The sequence below is a fragment of the Homo sapiens genome, chromosome 12 (assembly GCF_000001405.40).
Source record: "Homo sapiens chromosome 12, GRCh38.p14 Primary Assembly".
NCBI classification, from domain to species: Eukaryota; Metazoa; Chordata; class Mammalia; order Primates; family Hominidae; genus Homo; species Homo sapiens.
This window is the reverse complement of record NC_000012.12, coordinates 91,134,436-91,154,990: the sequence shown is the minus strand read 5'-3', so window position 1 is coordinate 91,154,990 and position 20,555 is coordinate 91,134,436. Positions and strand designations below refer to the sequence as shown.

The 20,555-nt window shown below is 34.9% G+C and overlaps 1 protein-coding gene across 6 annotated transcripts in view, besides 1 other annotated feature; it reads left to right on the top strand.

Annotated features, from left to right (window-relative positions):
* Positions 1 to 14,507, top strand: part of DCN (decorin) — a 42,334-nt gene extending 27,827 nt beyond the window's left edge. For 2 of the 6 annotated variants that reach the window (NM_001920.5, NM_133503.4), the window contains exons 6-8: positions 1,802 to 1,895; positions 3,199 to 3,337; positions 8,739 to 14,507. In NM_001920.5, the coding sequence (NP_001911.1) occupies positions 1,802 to 1,895; positions 3,199 to 3,337; positions 8,739 to 8,933 (428 nt within the window). In that variant the 3' untranslated portion in view covers positions 8,934 to 14,507. The remainder of the gene's footprint in view (positions 1 to 1,801; positions 1,896 to 3,198; positions 3,338 to 8,738) is intronic. The other 4 variants (NM_133505.3, NM_133504.3, NM_133507.3 and 1 more) reach the window with 2 other exon arrangements.
* Positions 11,297 to 17,104: an enhancer, noted in NCBI's record as "VISTA enhancer hs2540". NCBI's record gives its function as "enhancer in: limb[4/8]" and the evidence as "EXISTENCE:transgenic organism evidence [ECO:0001131][PMID:17130149]".

Below are 20,555 nucleotides of genomic sequence, written 5' to 3'. Positions count from 1 at the left end.
TAGAAAGTAGTGTAGAGACTATAAAAATCATACACTTAGATCAACCTGGGTGAGAGACCTAACTCAGTCATTTAGTTGTACTGTGACTTTAGGATAATTATTCTGCATTTCTATAACCTCAGGTTTGTTAGATGTTACATGGAGCTATTAATAACCCTGTCTACTAGGATTATTGTGAGGATTACTCTATAGAAGTAAGGCTTGTATTGTACACGCAAGTACTTGGCCCAATGTAAACCTCAATATATTTTATCTTAAAAAAGGAAAAGAAAAAAGAAAATTTAAAATAAATGAACAAACAAATAAATAAAATAACTGGAGTATGGGTTCTTTAACTCAATGCCACAGTTGCAGAAGCTAATGATGCACTTTACAAATTTGTCTATCTCAAACCTATTGCAAGGTTTTCTCCCATAGTCAAACTTCTTCTTAGCTATAACTTTACATTTGGGAAACTGACATCCCAAAAAGGGAGACACTTTGAAACTAAGTAAGGCCGATGGTTGTGATAGCAATTGGTGTACTGGAGGCACTGCATTAAAAAATATACATTTTGCATTACTTTGTAATTACTTTGTAACTTTGAGTCTTATTTATTTAACTGTGAAAAGGGATTAGTGACCAATAATTTATGTTTTGAGAGGCTTAAAGGATTTGAAGTAGGAAAAGTGCCAAGGTCAATGTTCGGTGCGTAACAGACATACAATAAATAGATGTTCCTTTTCCTAGCAGCTCTAACACAAAATATGCTACCATAGGAAACTAAGAATCATTTTCAAGTCAAATATGGACTAAACTATTTTATTAAATGGACAATATTGACAGAATTCAGTGTGATGTGATAAAAATTTTAGACAAAATGAAACCTGTGGTTTTTCAATTCTGTGTCTTTATAGACAAATAGCCAAGACTTTCTGCCAATCAGATGTTCTTTCTACACTTAACCAATTTGCTATTTTCTCTGTATCTATTGCTATTAAGTGGAACAATATGTTATTTTAAAAGCTGTATAAAATATAATACAGCCTCAGATGCTAGGAGGAAATGAAAATAAAATATTTAAACTTTTATATTTATAATACTCGATCTTTGGAAATCACAGCCATGCAAGTACTATCTAGAGGTTTAGTGGGTACTTTGGATGTAAAATTATTACCCCAGGTGCTCCACATATGGCAGATCACTTGATTATAGACCTCTCCACTCCTTCTGCATAAACATTCTGGATTTAATAGGCATAAGTAAATGTTAGCTGTTTCTACACAGACATTTTGCAGAGGTATTTGATGCTTTTATGGAAAAGTCAATTAAGGCTAAGACCAGCACAGTATATCAGTGTTAATTTTTAATGATGCTCATTAATGAAATAGACAATTAAGTTTGTACATGGGTTTAATTTATACGTAATCTCTTCATTATGGTTCGAATAGTGACTTTCCCACTTTATAATTACTATCTTTTATCAACGTCAGTTTTAGCCCATTAACAAAGGTGGAAGAGAATAATGAGACTCAGCGTTGACTTCAGTTCTTCTATTCCAAGAACAAAAATTGACTACATGATAGAAATCATCCAGGTTTTTGTTAAAGTCAACCTAAGAGAAAAATAGCAAGGGCTTCCACTACTTCCAAAAGCACACATTATTATAAAAGGGATGAAAAAAAAAGATAAAAGTAAAGCTGATTCTTTGAAACTGTGTGTCTTTTAGAAAATTGATGGCATATGTCTTCTTTAAGTTTGTCCACATTCTGTACTTATAATGTTTATCTGCTAATTTAACATCTTTAATTCCACATTCCAGGTCTTCCTCCTTCCCTTACGGAATTACATCTTGATGGCAACAAAATCAGCAGAGTTGATGCAGCTAGCCTGAAAGGACTGAATAATTTGGCTAAGTAATAATATTCTTTCATGACATTCTATCAGAACAATGGCTAGGTATATTAGTGCTTATATGATAAGAATTATAAACATGATGATTGATTTTTGAGTGTACTACATTTCACTGCTGTTGTTGTTTCTATAATCTCAAACTTCAGCATATCCAATTATTTCTTGAGAAGAAGCCAATGAAATAGTGCCCTTACTAAAACCACCAAGATCAGCTTCATATTTTATTAATACTATACTGTTTATAGATTAGTTATATTTTATACACAAAGTGTGTGATTAAATCAATATGTGCATTTAATATGTTCTAACTTATTTGCATCAAACAGAAAGTTAAGTAAATTATAACACAGTTGCTAGAATTTGAAAATCCATTAAAATGAAATCTACCAAGACAGAGAAATATTGAGCATCACACAAATTACTATTTTAATAATTATGAGATTCTCTAACCCCCTCTTCTCTGAAAAGTTTAAAATAAAATATCTCTGGGCATTTAATGTAGATCAACAAAAGAAAAGCTTTTGTTGTTGTTGTTTTTGCTGGCCCTTCTTAATGATTTTTTTTAAAATAAGTGATACTAGTACTTGTCCTGGTTTCAAACATAACTTCAATCTGGCAAACGTTTTCACTTGTCTTCAAGGAACACTATGTTCTTTTTGATCTGTACATATTGCTGACTGTCCCTACAGAGAAGCACACTATCATGCCAGATTTACTCATTCCTGTTGTTATATATAAATTTCATGGTGGATAAATAAATATAAAATATATCTTTGAATGTGTATATATATATATATGCATGTGTGTGTGTATAATCAACTCCTTTACTAGGTAAAATATTCTTTGATGGGAAAAGTGGTTTTTGATCCATGAGACCTCTGTCCCTCACAATGCCTAGCATAATATCATGCACATAAGTTTTCAAGAATATTTGTTTATTAAATATACAAATAAATGTTTGAATAAGTGAACAGTTTTTAAAAATAAACTATTAGGAATATTATGTTCCAATATTATGGTTGACCATAATTTGATGTTGGAACTTAGGATATTATAAGGAATAGGAGACTATGTCCAATCACGTTCTGTCAGATGAATCTCAAAGACAGTAACTTTGAGCCGAGACCTTAACAATAAATGGACTTTGTCCAGGCTCAGAGAGGTTGGAGAAAGCACTCCAAGAACTGGGAAGAGTAAGTGCAAAAACAAAAAATGTCCTTTCCTATAGACTTGATTAACTACACAATGCTTGTAAGAAAGGCATCCATGTGTGGTGTTTGCTTTCATTTCTGCTTTCTGTTGCAGGTTGGGATTGAGTTTCAACAGCATCTCTGCTGTTGACAATGGCTCTCTGGCCAACACGCCTCATCTGAGGGAGCTTCACTTGGACAACAACAAGCTTACCAGAGTACCTGGTGGGCTGGCAGAGCATAAGTACATCCAGGTAATGCAAAGCCACTGCTTATGTGAGGAATATCCAAAAAGCAAGACCCCCACCCTGCTTATGGGATGCTGGGAAGCAGGAAGCTCTTCTTAGAAGTTTTTTTTCCAGAGTGTCTTAGTTAGAATTTCTATGACAAAATACCATAAAAAAAATTAAATCATGAAGCACAATTTACATTAGCTAGATTTCAATAAAGTTTTTGATTTAGAAGTATGGAGATGAAACTTAAAGTCTTCTGTAATGCTGATATTTTTTTCAGTAGGGGTGGTGATGTTGGTGCCATAGTGAGTAGGGGGAGTTTGAAGCCACAAGTAAAATAAAAATTCTTTTTTTTTACTGTCACTAATTTTAATTTTCAAATTATTCAAGAATTGACTGGAAAGAGCTTCTTTGGTCTAGCTCCTGATTCTTTTTGACATGGCCTCATCATTTTTCTTTATTTCCTCTAAAAAAAAAATGAGATACGTTTGCAGAATGTGCAGGTTTGTTATATAGGTATACGTGTGCCATGGTGGTTTGCTGGCCCTACTGACCCATCCTCTAAGTTCGCCCGCTCACCCCCTACCCCCTGTTGTGTGTTTTGTTACCCTCTCTGTGTCCGTGTGTTCTCAGCATTCAACTTCCATTTATGCGTGAGAACATGCAGTATTTGGTTTTCTGTTCCTGTGTTAGTTTGCTGAGGATGATGGCTTCTAGTTTCATCCATGTCCTTGTAAAGGACATGATCCCATTCCTTTTTATGGCTGCATAGTATTCCACGGTGTATATGTACCACATTTCCTTTATCCAGTCTATCATTGATGTGCATTTGGATTGGTTCCATGTTTTTGCTATTGTAAAATAGTGCTGCAATAAACATTATGTGTGCATATGTCTTTATAGTAGAATGATTTATATTTCTTTGGGTATATACCCAGTAATGGGATTGCTGGGTCAAATGGTATTTCTGGTTCTACATCCTTGAGGAATTGCTACACTGTCTTTCACAATGGTTGAACTAATTTATGCTCTCACCAACAATGTAAAAGCACTCCTATTTCTCCACAGCCTCATCAGCATCTACTGTTTCCTGACTTTTTAATAATCACCATACTGACTGGCATGAGATAATATCTCATCTCCAGCCACAGGGAATCATTAATCTATTTTATCATTTTTGTTTGTTTCATAGACCATAGTTTTGTGTAGATTCCAGGAATACTTTAACATCTAGAAATTTTATAATTTTAACTCCTGTATTTGGTTTTATAATCTAATTTTGAGATAATCCTAGTATATGATATGAGTCTAATTCATTTTCTGTATGTGATAGCAATTGTCCCAATGTCATTTGTTGGAAATAATATTCTTTCTCCAATGAATTGTCTTGTCACTGTTGAAAATCACTCGATCATAAATGTAAGGGTTTATTTCTGGACTTTCAATTCTATTACATTTATCTATATGTCTAGTCATATGACAGTATTATACCCTTCAATTACTGTAGCTTTTGATTACGTTTTGAAATTAGAAAATGTAGGTTCTCCAACTTTGTTCTTTTTTTTCAAAGTTATTTTGGCTATTCTGGTTCCTTTGCATTCCATATCAATTTTAGGATCTACTTTTTCATTTCTGGAAAAATATTCTTGTAAGGCTTTGAAAGGTATTGTTTTGAATCTACAGATCATTGGGAAGAATTACTATCTTAATAATATTGAGCCTTCCAAGTCACAAACAAGGGTTATTTATATCTTCTTTTCTTTTTCTCAACAGTTTTTGTCATTTTTAGCATACATGCCTTGCAATTCTTTTACTACATTCATTGTTTTTCATTCTTTTTGATGCTGTTTTGAATTGTTAATTTTTTTATTTGTTTGCTGCTAATGTATAAACATACAATTGATGTTTATATATTGAGCTATCCTGGTACTATGCCAAATTTGTTTTTAGTTGCAGTAATTTTTGTGAGTTCCTTTGGATATTCTATATTCAGGATATATTATTTAAAAATAGACAGCTTTAGTTATTTTATTTGGATTCTTTTAGGTCTCCCCCTCCCCCACAACCCACCCTTTGCATTGGCTGGAATCGCCAGTGCAATGTTGAACAAAGGTGATGAAATTAGACATCTTTGCCTTATTTGCTAGTTTAGGAGGAGGGAGCATTCATTTTACCATTAGTTACGATGTTAGCCACAGGTCTTCTATAGATGCTCTTTATCAAGTTGAGGAAGTTCCCTTCTATTTCTGATTTACTGAAAACATTTATTATGAATTTTTTTCTTACATGTTTTTCCTGCTTCTATTGAGATAATCATGCGAGTTTTGGCCTTTATATTTTTGATATAGTGTATTACATTGATATTACTTTGATTGATTTTCATAAGTTAAACCAATTTTACAACCCTGAGATAAATCATGTTTGGTCCTATAGCATGAAATCATTTTATATGTTGTGAAATGTAGCTTCCTAACATTTTGTGAAAGATTTTTTGTCCATATTCATAAGAGGTATTTGATTACATTTTTTTTTCTTATGATGAATTTTGTCTGGCTTTGGTCTTAGAAAATATTGACCCCATAGAATGAGTTTGGAATCTACTTTTATTTTGTTCTACACAGACTAATACTTACGTCTTGATATTTTGTTCTCTCACTTTCAATATTAACCATAAATTGCTCACCAAACACCCCTTCCTTTACTTGCTAATCACTACTGGAATATAGAGGATGGTAAATGACAACAAGAAACTTCCAAAATATGAGAACCATAAACCATACATATAAGTGTTGCTTTCACTTTAATATTCCTTGTTTCTGTTTTTATATGACATCTACTAATTCGCTTTTCAGCCCTTACAAAAACAAAGCCGTTTTCACCAGCACATGAATGTGAATGTCCTAGTGGGTAGAACAATATTTCAAATTTTTTTTTTTTTTTTTTTTTTTTTTTTGAGTCGGAGCGTCTCGCTCTGTCACCTAGGCTGGACTGCATACAATGGCACAATCTCGGCTCACTGCAACCTCCGCCTCTCGGGTTCAAGAAATTCTCCTGCCTCAGCCTCCCGAGTAGCTGGGATTACAGGCACGTGCCGCCATGCCATGCTAATTTTTGTATTTTTAGTAGAAACGGGGTTTCATCATGTTGGTGAGGCTGGTCTTGAACACCTGACCTCATGATCCATCCGCCTCGGCCTCCCAAAGTGCTGAGATTACAGACATAAGCCACCACGCCCAGGCTTTCAAGTTATGTTTTAAGGGAGTACTTCATAGGTTTTATAGCTCACTTAAGATCTTGTTGGTGGCAGGACGCAGTGGCTCATGCCAGTAATCCCAGCACTTTGGGAGGCTGAGGTGGGCGGATCACGATGTCAGGAGATCGAGACCATCCTGGCTAACATGGTGAAACCCCCTCTCTACTAAAAATACAAAAAATTAGCCGGGCGTGGTGGTGGGCGCCTGTAGTCCCAGCTACTCGGGAGGCTGAGGCAGGAGAATGGCGTGAACCCGGGAGGCGGAGCTTGCAGTGAGCCGAGATTGCGACACCGCACTTCAGCCTGGATAACAGCGCGAGACTCCGTCTCAGAAAAAAAAAAAAAAAAGACCTTGTTGTCTTAGTGTTATATTCTAACCTTGCTTGTATGATTTCAGAGAAGTTGCTTCTTGACCTACAGAACTCATATCCTCAAAGTGAACTGTAAACTCATTTCTAACATTCTTTGTATAATTCCGGTTTTTAGGGACCCTAAGAAAATCTATGGCCAAATTACCATTATCTTAAACATGATTGTAAAACATAATTCAGAAAAAAAACTCTGATTAATTATATTGCACTGTATTCAAGTAAAACGTATTACGTAAAATATGTATTTGTTAAAACTTCCTAGGTCTATTCTAAATGCTGTGATGTTTAAATATTTAAGAATTTCTTGGAGTTTGTGATTCTTTATTTCAATTCCAGTACTTTATGCTCTCTTTTTCTTTTTCACTACACAGCACTTTCTCATTCTATATCATTTTGTTAAAAGGTGTATATATTTTTTGTCCTGAAAACATAATATTTCATGTAGACCCAATATAGTCATGTAGACCTGATATATGAAATAACATTTATTCATTCAACACATATTTATTGAACACCTGGTCTGTTCTAGTACTGGAGATACAGCCATAAACAAGCAGAACCATTCTTGTCTCATGGAGCTTTTACTCTAGAGGAGAGAAACAAACAATATCAAATAAGCATAATATGCTACATATTGATAATGCTATGAAGAAAAACATGTAACGTAATTCTGCCCCAGAGAATGGCAGAATGGGATGGTCAGGGAAGGTCTCTCTGGTAAGAAAAAACGACTTACATGAGGCAACAAGCCTTGAAGACACCTTAGAGATTATTCCAGGTTGAGTAAACGGTGTTGATAACTTAAGAAGAGATCATGCTTTGTGCATTAGAAGAGCAGCAAGTAGACCAGATGACTGGCTTTTACAGTAAGAGAAAAGGAGGTCAGAGTAGAAGGATGTCAGATCATGTAGGATTTGTAGGCCCCTTTGAGAACTTTAGATTTTATTATTCTGCATGAGATTGGAAACCACTGGAGTTCTGAGGCAAAGAACATATAATTTGGTTTACTTTCTAAAGCAATTGCTCTGAGAGCTTAAAAAAAGAATAAAATTTAGGAAGGCAAAAGGGGAAGCAGGAATAATAATCAGGGCAACTTCAATCATTTGGAAGGAAACAATGGTGACTTGGACAAGGTTGTCGGAGTAGAGGTGGAGAGAACTAGATTAAGTGTACATTTTGAAGGCTGAGCTAGCAAGATTTGTTGTTGATTATGTAGAGAGCATAAGAGAATTGGAGCTCAAGGATAATGACAATGTATATAGCCTGAGCATCTGAAATGATTGGCATGCAATTTACTGAGATGGGGAAGACAAGACTAAAGAAGGGAAAAGCAAATTTTCAAAAGGAAGGGAGAAATCAAAAGTTTAATCTGAGAAGTAGTCAGTTATTCAAAGTGGGGCCTGTCGTGGTGGCTTACGCCTGTAATCCAAGCACTTCAGGAGGCTGAGGTGGCCGGATCACTTGAGGTCAGAAGTTCTAGACCAGCCTGGCCAACATGGTGAAAACCCAACTCTACTAAAAACAAAAATTAGCCGGGCATGGTGTGTGTGCCTGTAGTCCCGGCTACTCAGTAGGCTGAGGCAGGAGAATAGCTTCAACCTGTGAGGCAGAGGCTGCAATGCACTGAGGTCATGCCACTGCACTCCAGCCTGGGTGACAAAGCAAGATTCCATCTCAAAAAAAAAAAAAAAAAAAAAAAGTGAAGGATTAAAAAATAATAAAAAAAATAAAATGTTTACCTGAAGGGCCTCAACATATTTAGAGAATAATAATTATTTTCTATCGTTTCATGTTGTAGGTTGTCTACCTTCATAACAACAATATCTCTGTAGTTGGATCAAGTGACTTCTGCCCACCTGGACACAACACCAAAAAGGCTTCTTATTCGGGTGTGAGTCTTTTCAGCAACCCGGTCCAGTACTGGGAGATACAGCCATCCACCTTCAGATGTGTCTACGTGCGCTCTGCCATTCAACTCGGAAACTATAAGTAATTCTCAAGAAAGCCCTCATTTTTATAACCTGGCAAAATCTTGTTAATGTCATTGCTAAAAAATAAATAAAAGCTAGATACTGGAAACCTAACTGCAATGTGGATGTTTTACCCACATGACTTATTATGCATAAAGCCAAATTTCCAGTTTAAGTAATTGCCTACAATAAAAAGAAATTTTGCCTGCCATTTTCAGAATCATCTTTTGAAGCTTTCTGTTGATGTTAACTGAGCTACTAGAGATATTCTTATTTCACTAAATGTAAAATTTGGAGTAAATATATATGTCAATATTTAGTAAAGCTTTTCTTTTTTAATTTCCAGGAAAAAATAAAAAGAGTATGAGTCTTCTGTAATTCATTGAGCAGTTAGCTCATTTGAGATAAAGTCAAATGCCAAACACTAGCTCTGTATTAATCCCCATCATTACTGGTAAAGCCTCATTTGAATGTGTGAATTCAATACAGGCTATGTAAAATTTTTACTAATGTCATTATTTTGAAAAAATAAATTTAAAAATACATTCAAAATTACTATTGTATACAAGCTTAATTGTTAATATTCCCTAAACACAATTTTATGAAGGGAGAAGACATTGGTTTGTTGACAATAACAGTACATCTTTTCAAGTTCTCAGCTATTTCTTCTACCTCTCCCTATCTTACATTTGAGTATGGTAACTTATGTCATCTATGTTGAATGTAAGCTTATAAAGCACAAAGCATACATTTCCTGACTGGTCTAGAGAACTGATGTTTCAATTTACCCCTCTGCTAAATAAATATTAAAACTATCATGTGACTTCATGTAATCAGGCTGAACATTTCTACAATTACTAGATGTATTAGACGTAAGTATTTTCTTTAGTTAAACCACCCATGTTAGAAATGTTTTCTGTAGAATTTATAAACAACTATCAATGCAGACAATTTAATAAGCCTGGGGATGATTTACTTACAGTAAACATTTATCAAATTGTACATTTGTGCTATCAACAATTAATAAGCAAATATGTGAAAATAGTTTCTGTCTTCTATGAAGTTAGATATTTGATGGTTAAAACCCCTATAAATCATAGTTTCATATGGGAAAAAATAATTGAAATACAGTGTAAATTTAAATAATTTATTAAGTATAGCAAATAATTGAAATATGGTGGACTAAATTTTGTCATAGAAATATGTGCAAGTTATAGTAGTGGCTCACATGAGAGGTAATCAATTCTGCTAATAGTAGCAGAATGAGTGCAGTGGAACATGAAAAACTTGAGGAGATAACAGTTGAGGTGGGTTTCCATAGATGCATAATAGTTCAAGAGCAAGATTTGGTGGGGAGGCACTATTCAAGACAGGGACTAAGTTCAAAATCCAAGACGTATGCTGGGACACACCTCTGACAGGTTGGCATAAAGGAGGCTTAATCAAACTATTTTTCTTCTTCTGAAACAGAAGCAATAATTTTCATTTACATTTGACATATCCCGAGGTAATATTAACATTAGGGAAAGTTACTCTTTTCCATCTTTCCACATTCTTGCAGGACCATAAAATCTGAATTTTCCAGTATTTTTAATAAGAGGGAAGAAACCTCTCTTTTTCTTCTCTTTTTCATCTCCCAAGAGATCCTCCTCTCATGACTACAGTTGAATAGGTGGTTTCTATTGGAAGACATTCAGGAATTCAAGGTGCATGTCCATAAATGGACTTTTTTTGTTGTTGTTCAGAGCTGGACCTTGAATGATGCATCCTTCTCTCTGTTGTAACCATGAATAATGCACCCTTCATGCTATAGCCTTTAACGATTCACCCTTCTTATTGTAACCTTGAATGATTCACCCTTTATGGTGTAGCCTTGAGTGACGCACCCTTCATGTTGTAGCCTTCAATGATGCACACTCCATGTTATAGCCTTGAATGATATACCCTTTATGCTGCAGCCTTTCTCTTATGGGGAAAAGCCTGCAGATATCCTGCTGCTTAACTGACAAGTGTGGTGAGAAATAAGTAGAAATCTAAAGAGGGGAAGACCATTTTGGACACTTATCTGCAAGGCAGATCCAACACACTTTTCCAGTAGTCAAGCTACTTCTAATTTTGTTCAGTATCAAAATGAGAAACAGGCCTGATTCTCCAGCACTCTTGTCAACACAACTTCCCCCCATATTTATATATATACACACACATATATATCTTTATATATATACACACATATATATCTTTATATATATATATTTATATATATATCTTTTTGCATATATACATATATATGTATCTTTATTTCCTTTGAAATAAAGATAAATATAGCTGATTTCTTTGGCTTCGACACTTACTATTTGCATGACTAAGGGAAGCTAGTTAACCTTTCTGTGACTCATTTCCTTGTCCATAAAATGGGAATATTAATTGTACATGTCTTATGGATTGGTGTGTGAATTCAGTTAGCGAGTGTAGAATATAACTTATAGATCAAAGTAGAGTAAATGGAAAGGGCTCAACTATGGTGTTGCTACTGCCATTGTTATTACAGGCACACAGTTCGAGCTATAATCATTTCAAGGGAAATTCTTATGTGTCAGTTCTGGATCGAGGTCTGAGATTCTGCATTTCAAACAAACTTCCAGGAATGCTGCTGCTTCTTGGTCCACACTTGGAGAAATAAGTCAGCAGAGAGTCCTCTCGTTTCCTATTGTACCATGTCTGTCTTTTGTCTCCTGCTTATTGGCCTCTGTAAGGAACTCACAGCTGCTATAATAAAGTACCAAAAACTGGGTGGCTTAAAACAACAGAAACTTACTTTCTCACAATTCTGGAGGCTAAAAATTCAAAATCAAGGTGTCAGCAGGGTCAGATTCCTTCCAAAGCCTTTAGGAGAGGACCTTTCCTTGCTCCTCCTAGGTTTCTGGTTAAATCTAGGTGTTCTTTGCCTTATGGCAGCGTGACTCTAATTTATGCCTCCATCTTCACCCTCACATGGCCTTCTCTCTCATGTGTTTGTGTCTTTTCTCTTCTTCTTCTATGAACATGAGTTATATTGGATTAAGGCTCACCCTAATTTAGTATGAACCCATCTTAACTTGATTATATCTGCAAAGACTCTATTTCCAAATGAAGTCAGACTCACAGGTATTGGGGGTTTGATATTGAACATATCTTCTGGGAGGAGACACAACTTAATCATTAATATCCACTTTCTTTTTTCCTTATTAAATGTTTAATTTTTTTGTTTTCATTAAAACTGTTGTTCGATTATGGGTGCTTCACATAAAAGGTTGGAAACTTAAAAATTTGTCTCTGACCCCTCCTGGTTGGAAAGGCCTCTGTTGTACATTTATGCTAGCCTAGGCCATACCACTTTCTGTCTTCAGTACAGCCATCTTAGTTTATTCAAGTGACACAGATTTTCCAGAACACAGTATTCATGATCTTTTAAAGCATTTTTCTTCAAAGACTTTGATCTGGCAATAAATGTTACTATGTAATTCTCATGACATAAATTAGGCATAACTTGGATCTCCTCTTCTTCTGCTCATTCATTTGTCTGAATCATCACTATTATCTTTTTTATATTCCTTTACCGTTCTCCATAATGCTTTTCCAAGAAACTGGTTTATTCCACAATTTTATTGCAGAGGCAGCTGCAGGATATCATAATCTTATCTTTATACGAAGGAAGAATTGCCTAATCCCTCAAGTAAACTAAAAATGTTTTATACAGTCATTTCTCATTCATCCAATGTTCCAGGCAGTCCCAGTCCAAGACTGCCCCTTCACACACACAACAACTCTTCACAAGACTTCACTGTCCTTCAGACTCTCCTGCAGCACAGACATTCGAGGTTGCTGAGTCGACATTGCAGTTATTTCACTCTTGATTTTGCTGCTCAATTTTAAGTTTCCACACTTATTGCTAAAACATTCCTTCTAGTGGATCTGTTTATGTATTCAAGCACACCATCTGTCACAATTATTTCAAATCACAGGTCTGTGACAGACTGTCAATTTCACACCACAAAGTATAATAGTGGAAAACAAAGTAAAATCAAGAAAGGGAGAACACTAAACTTATTAAAACCATATACAAGCATACGCATTCAGGAAACTAAAACAACCTTCAAAGAAGTTGAACAATTTTGAGCCAAAAGAAAGGGCATATGCACACCCTACCCCAGTATAAGATAACCAGAAAAGGACTGGGTGAGTTGCCTCCTGAGTATTATGACTGCCATCAATCACTTAGGCATTGGAGATCAGGAGACTCTTCCCAGGCCACACATTCTGCAGTGACTGTGAGGGCTGAATGAATGCTTCCAGGCCATCAGGAACAAGCATAGAAACACAAATCAATTTTAAAATACACTCAAAAATGTCAAAATAATCCAACTTTTTTGTCTTGATCAGATATATCTACTAGCACATATTACTTCATTTTTTCAGCCAATATTTATTAATAACCTACTGTGTGCTTGACAGTGTTCTAGTGGCAGAGACACAGCAGTGCATAATGCCTTGCCCTCTGAAGCAGATGTTGCAGCAGGAGGAGACATTCCAGGACATGACAATTAAAGTGGAGGAATGTCAAGCAGAACTGGGGAATAAGGGATGTGAAGGGGGTGAGACTTGCTATTTTATATAGGATGGTCGGAAAAAGGACTTATCAGGAGTGACATTTGAGCAGGGAGATGAAGAACTGAAGGGAGCAAGCCAAGAAAAGAGGCCCTGAATTTGGAAAATACATGGCACGTTCCAACAAGAGCAGAGAGGACAAACGTGAGCAGAGTAAAGTGAGCAAGAAGAGATAATATATGATACAAGGTCAGAAAGGTAATGACAATCGCATCCTGTAGGACTTTTTAGGCCATTGTAAAGATGAGCTTTTACTCTGAGTAAGACAGAGAGCTATTAGAGGGGTCTCGGTAGAGGAGTGACTTGATTCAACTGTCTTTGAGAGGATCCCTTTGCGTGTATAGACTGTAAGGTAACAGGAATAGGCCAAGAGAGAATATTTCGGATGCTAGTGCAATAATCAGGTGAGAGATGATGAAGACTTTGACCTGGATAATAGTAGAAAAATTGTTGAGAAGGGATCAAAATATGGGGTTTGTTTTGATGGTAGAGAGGCCAGGGATGGCTGAATGATCAGATGGGGCATGAGAGAGAAAGAAAAGAAACAGAGATGACTTCAGGAATTTTGGCCTGGGCCACTGGAAGGATGAAGTCACCATTTACTGAGATGGTAATGACTGGGAGGTTGAGCTGGAAGAACTGAGAATCAAATATCTGGTTTTGAATCTGTTCTTTTTGAGATGCATATTCAACTTCCATATGGAGGTGTCAAGGAGGATTTAGATCTAGAATTTTGGAGCTCAAGGGAAAGGGTTGAGCTGTAGACATAAATTCTAGAGATGCCGGAATATAGATTGTGATCCTTCTTTATCAGCACAGAAATGACTTGACTTTGTCCAAACTAAGCAATCATACTGTACATGTTAGCAACACATTTTACAGGGCCAATTTGGCCTTTTGCAATGTTCTGTGGTTTCTAAGATAAATAAACATATTATATGTTTCCCTCTGGATGCCTTTGCTATGATCCTGTCAGCATTTCCAAAACAGTTCTTGCTTGAACACCACCAAGGAAAGAAAAAAACCTCTTGAGAAAGAAATCATTGTTTTTTTTTTTTTTTTTTTAAATCCCTGTGTTTTGGCTTATGAGTTTAAAACTTACAAAAACAGTCTAGTTTCTGTTTTCTTCAAGAATTCACATTAACAAAAGTGTGGCTTGGTGCCTGTTTTGAATGTGAGTTGATAACTTGCTGGTGGTTTGACAGTTATAAACAAACAGTCTTATAGCATAAAGAAAGCATATTCCTGAAACTGCAGGAGGTCTCATTGAGCCTCAGGCACTATACCAGCATGTTTAACTAGAAAATCATGAAAACACATACAACTTCTATAGCTAAGGCCATTTTTACATGGAATTGCAGCATAAAATGACTCCATCTAATTCTGTAAAAGTTTATATTGATGACTACTTTATAAAGCACCCATATTGCCACTTGGTCTGACAAAGATATGTGAAAAATATAAAAAATTTCTTGAAGTAATTTATTTTTCCCCCTCTTTCCACAAAACCAGGTATGTGTGTGTGTGTGGTTATTGTCTTCCAATCTTAACATGTTTATATGACAGAAAATAAAATTTTAATCTAACCATTCATTCATTTACTCCACTAATTCACATATTTATTGAGTACTTAGAATATGACAGGAACTATGCTAGGTCTAGAGAAAATAGAAAAAAAAAGTGCATTTTCCTCCCTCTAGTAGATAACTTTGGAATGTGAAAGTGATATATTTCAATAAACTTGAAAATTGAACAAAAAGACAATATCTGAGAAGGTTCTGAAAGGAAATGAAAGTCAAAAGTATTACATACCCATTCACGATTAAAAATTATAATGTTAAACAAATTTCCTGTGGCTGTCCTGACTTCAGGAAAAACATCTGGAACATTGTAAGAAATACCAGGCCACCTACAAATCACAAGACAAAGCTTTTACTGAGGTTCAGGAAATGATAAACAAAGCTTATGGGACCAGATGTTTCTGGATGCTGTTATTTTGATTAAGATGATTCTTCTTTCACACCATCTGGATTGATAGATTAAAAAAAAAATCATTCCTTCCTAGCTTCAGTGACTCCTACTGATAAGTACACCAGAGATATATCTACCTAAGATAAATGCTAGTAGTACTAGGATTAGTAGTTTTTCGAAAGGGAAAGTTAGTTCAAAAACTCAAACTACTCGTGAATGGGCTGTACAAATTAGTCCACGTTTAAAAATTACTGTCATATTCACAGAGCCTACATTTTTTTCCCAGACACTAACATCCACTTTTAAATTCTTTTCCCAGAAAGAATGTCTCAGATGTAGTTGGCAAAAGATGAAAATCAGGAAATAAAATGTAAAAGCAATCTTTTCATAGATTTCTAGGGCACCTTAATCTTGGTCCTTTGTGACTCTCAGAAATAGTAAACTTATTTCAGTTTTGTATCCATTCTCTGAGTTTCTTTCAGTACCAATAATAACAACAATGGCAGCGTTACTTATATGCACTTATATGGCAGCTTTTGGTTTACAAGTGTATTCACTGATATAATCTCATTGCTGTTTCACAATCAACAGTGCAATAGGGTTATTTTATGATAAGAAAAAGAGACAAAGAATAAGTAATTTAAGAGGGATTTGATTAATAAGTGACTAGTGCTCTGAGATTAGATATAGACTTAATCCATTAGCCAGGGGAAACAGAGTTGAGGAACTAACAGAGTTAGGGAAGAAAAAGATTTCTTCTAGTGACTCCATGTTCTTTGTGGCATGCCCTCTACTCCTCGACTCCCTTACTCCCTCTGTCTCCCATTTATGCCTTCCATCCCCCACCATGCACAGAGAGTCATATCCTTGCCAGATGAAAGTGTTATAAAAAGCAGCTCTGGCTCAGGAAAGGAGATCTCTGGAATGGGCTTCAGCTGTTGTCTAGCACAGAGCAGGTCTCAAAGCTGAGAGACAATGTGCCTGGGGCTCTAAGCCTGGTGCAGGCAGCCTGGGTGGAGGCCTGAAATTTAGCTGCAGGCTCTGATCCAGCTTCTCTTGAGGCAGTGCAGAGCAGGCATTAAGAATAAAGCCAACAAGGTTTTGCTCCTGTCACAGTGTTACCTAGTTGCTTTGTAGTCTCAATTGTGTAATCACTTTTTAGTATCTATAAGTTCTATATTTTCATGTGCTTTAATGATGGCAAGCATTGCCCCTTGTTTCCATATTTAGAACTTCTTTGAGCATTTCTTCTGGGACCAGTCTAGGGGTGACACGTTCCCTTAGCAGCTTGCCTAGGAAAAACTTTAATTCTTCTTCATTTATGAAGCTCAGCTTGGCAGGATATAAGATGCTTGATTGGCATTATTTTTTCTTTCAGAAAGCTAAGAATAGGCCCCCAATCTCTATTGGTTTGTAAGGTTTCTGCTGAGATGCTCATTGTTAGTGTGATGAGATTTTCTTTATAAATGATTAGATGTTTCTCTCTAACTGCTTTTATTTTTTTTTCCTTCACATTGACGGGGTAGTCTGATGACCATATACTTTGATGAGATTTGTCTTGCTGAGACTCTTCCAGGTGTTTTCTTGAGCTTCTTGTATCTGGATGTCTAATTCTATAGCTATATGAGGGATGTTTTCCTGAAATTTTCCATCATATACATTTTCTAAGCCTTTTATTTTTTCTTCTTCTCCCCCAGGAATGCCTATAACTTGTAGGTGTGGATGCTTAACATAATCTCATATTTCCAGAAGTCTTTGTTCATTTTTTTGATTTTTTTTCCTTATTTTCATCTGGGTTAATTAAAAGGACGAGTCTTCATTATTATATCAAAAAGACACTTGCACTTGTATGTTTATTGTAGACTATTCACAATAGCAAAGACATAGAATTGACCTAAGTGTCCATTAATGGATAATTGGATAAATAAAATATGGTGGATATATACCATAGAATACTATGCAACCATAAAGAAGAATAATATCATGTATTTTTCAGCAACATGGATGGAGCTGAAGGCCATTATTCTAAACAAAATAACTTAGAAACAGAAAATCAAATAATGCATGTTCTCACTTAGAAGTGGGAGCTAAACAATGAGTACACATGGACACACATGGTGAAATAATAGGTAGTAGAGACCCCAAAAGTGGTGAGAATGAGAGAGGGGTGAAGTTTTAAAAATTACCTGTTGGGTATAACGTTCACTCTACAGGTTACAGGCACACTAGCAGCCCAAACCTCACCATTATGCAATGTATCCATGTAACTACCTAAATCTATAAAAACAATGATTAAAAAAAAGACAGAATAAAAGCCTGTGGTCAACCTGACCTAGGGTAGTCTTTGTTTTGGTGTTCACAAGCTGTGAGACATTAAGCATATCAAAATGAGAAACAATAATAAGGTGCCTACCACTCAAGTTATTTAGGGCCATTAACTAAGATACTGTATGTAAATAGTGAAAGACAGAATGCTTTCCCCCTAAGATCAGGAAAAAGCAAGAATGGCTGTGGTCACCATTTCTATTAAACTTTGAATAGAAAGTTCTAGATAGTACAGTAGGAAAAAGTAACAAATAAAAAGCATGGAAATTGGAAAGGAAAACATAAAATGATGTTCACTTGAAAATGACATATACATGTTCATCAAAAATACAAAGACATGAATAAAAAATACCCACTAAAACTAATAAATGAATTTAGCAAAGTCATATGATGCAGTGTTAGTATATAGCAATCAGTTTAATTTTTATTTATTAATAGAAAAGAACTGGAAAATAATTTATTAAAAAATTTATCTTAAATTCAAAAAAAGACACATGAATAAACTTAAGAGATATGTGTGATACGTACATTAAAATATATAAAATATTCCTAATGGAAATTAAAGAAATTAAATTGAGACATATACCATATACATCATTTAAAGATTCAGTATTGATAACTGACATATAGATTTATTGCAATTCTAATCATAATTTTAATTAACCTTTATATAGAAATTGATAAGCTGATTCTAAAGTTTCTATGAAAATGCAAACAATCTAATGGATACAATGCCCTTTATAAAAAGGAAAAATTGAGGACTTTCACTTTCAAGTCTTTGCATGAAGATATAGTGGTATTGGCAAAATGACAGACATAAAGATCAATTGAATGGAAAACAGTTATGAAATTAGCCCACCCAAAAACAATCTAATGATTTCCAACAAAATAACAAGTCAATTCAATTAGGAAAGGAAATCTCTTCAGCAAGTGGTGTTGACACAACTGGATATTGGTATGGGATATGTACATTGACTTTTACCTTATATTAATATTATATATACAAATTAACCCAAAATGCATATGTATAATTAAAAGCTAAAATTAAAAAAGAATTCTAGAAGAAAATAATGGAGAAAATCTTTGCAAGGTTGACATAGGCAGAGTTTTTTTAGATAACATATGAAAAGCATGAACTATCATAGAAAAAAGTAATAAATTAAAACATATCAAATTAAAAATCTTTGCTCTTCAAAAGACATCTCAAGAACAAAGAAAGAGAGCTACAGACTGAGAGAAAATGTTTACACTACATATATTTAACAAAGGATTTCTATCCAGAGTGCCTATGTGTACGTGTTCATGTGTATATGTATGTCTGCACAATTTCAAAATTTAATAAGATCAAGCAAACAGCTTTCAGAAAATGAGCAAATTATTGAATATCCACTTCATGAAAGAGAATATATAAATATTCAATTTAGCTACCACATGATTCAGCAATCCTACTGCTGGGTATATACTCAGTATATCAAGGAGATATCTGCACTCCTACGTTTGTTGCAGCACTGCTTACAAGAGTTAAGATTTGGAAGCAACCTAGGTGTCTATCAACAGATGAATGGATAAAGAAAATGTGGTATATATACACAATGGAGTACTATTCAGCCATAAAAAATAACGAGATCCAGTCATTTGCAACAACATAGATGGAACTGGAGATCATTATGTTAAGTGAAATAAAGGCACAGAAAGACAAACATTGCACGTTCTCACTTCATGTGGGATCTAAAAATCAAAACAATTGAACCCATGGACATAGAGAGTACAAAGATGATCATCAGAGGCTGGGAAGGTCAATGGGGGACTGGGGAACAGGTAGGGATGGTTAATGGGTATAAAACAAAAGAGTTAGCAAGAATGAATAAGTACTACTATACGATAGCACAACAGGGTGACTATAGTAAATAATAACTGCAAATTTTAAAATAACTTACAGAGTATAATCAAATTGTTTGCAACTTCATGGATAAATGCTTGAGGTGATGGATACCCAATTCTTCATGATGTGCTTATTTCATAGGCATGGCTATTTCAAAACAGCTCATGTACCCCATAAATATATGCAACTACTATGTACCTACAAAAATTATAAATAAAACTTTAAAAAGAAAATATACAAATATTCAAAAAGCACATAAAATCAATACCAATAGTTATCAGGGAAATGTTAATTAAAACCATAATAAGTTATTACTATGTACCTATGAAAATGGCTAAAATTTAAAACTCCTAATACGAAGTCTTGAAAATGATGTGGAGCAACTGGAACTCTCATATATTGCTGGTGACAAGGTATAATATTATAGGCACTTAAAACATTACTTTTGATAATTACTATAAGTTAAATGTACACCTACCATATGACCCAGCTATTACATTTAAAAGTATTTTTCATAGACAACGCATGTCCACACAAAGATGACTTGGACATAAATCTTCATAGCAGTTTTATTTGCAATAACCGAAACTTAGAAACAACTCAAATGTCCATTCACAGATGAATAAAATTACTTTACAAAGTAGTTTATTCATAAAATAGAACAGTACTTAGTAATAAAAGGAGGGTCAAGGGAGATATGAACTGCAAAGGAGATAGTGAAAAGTTAAGGTGATGATGGTAAGGTTCTATACAAAGTATTAGTTTTACAAGTATATACATCTGTCATAACTCATTGAATGTATTCAGGTTATGGTATATTGAT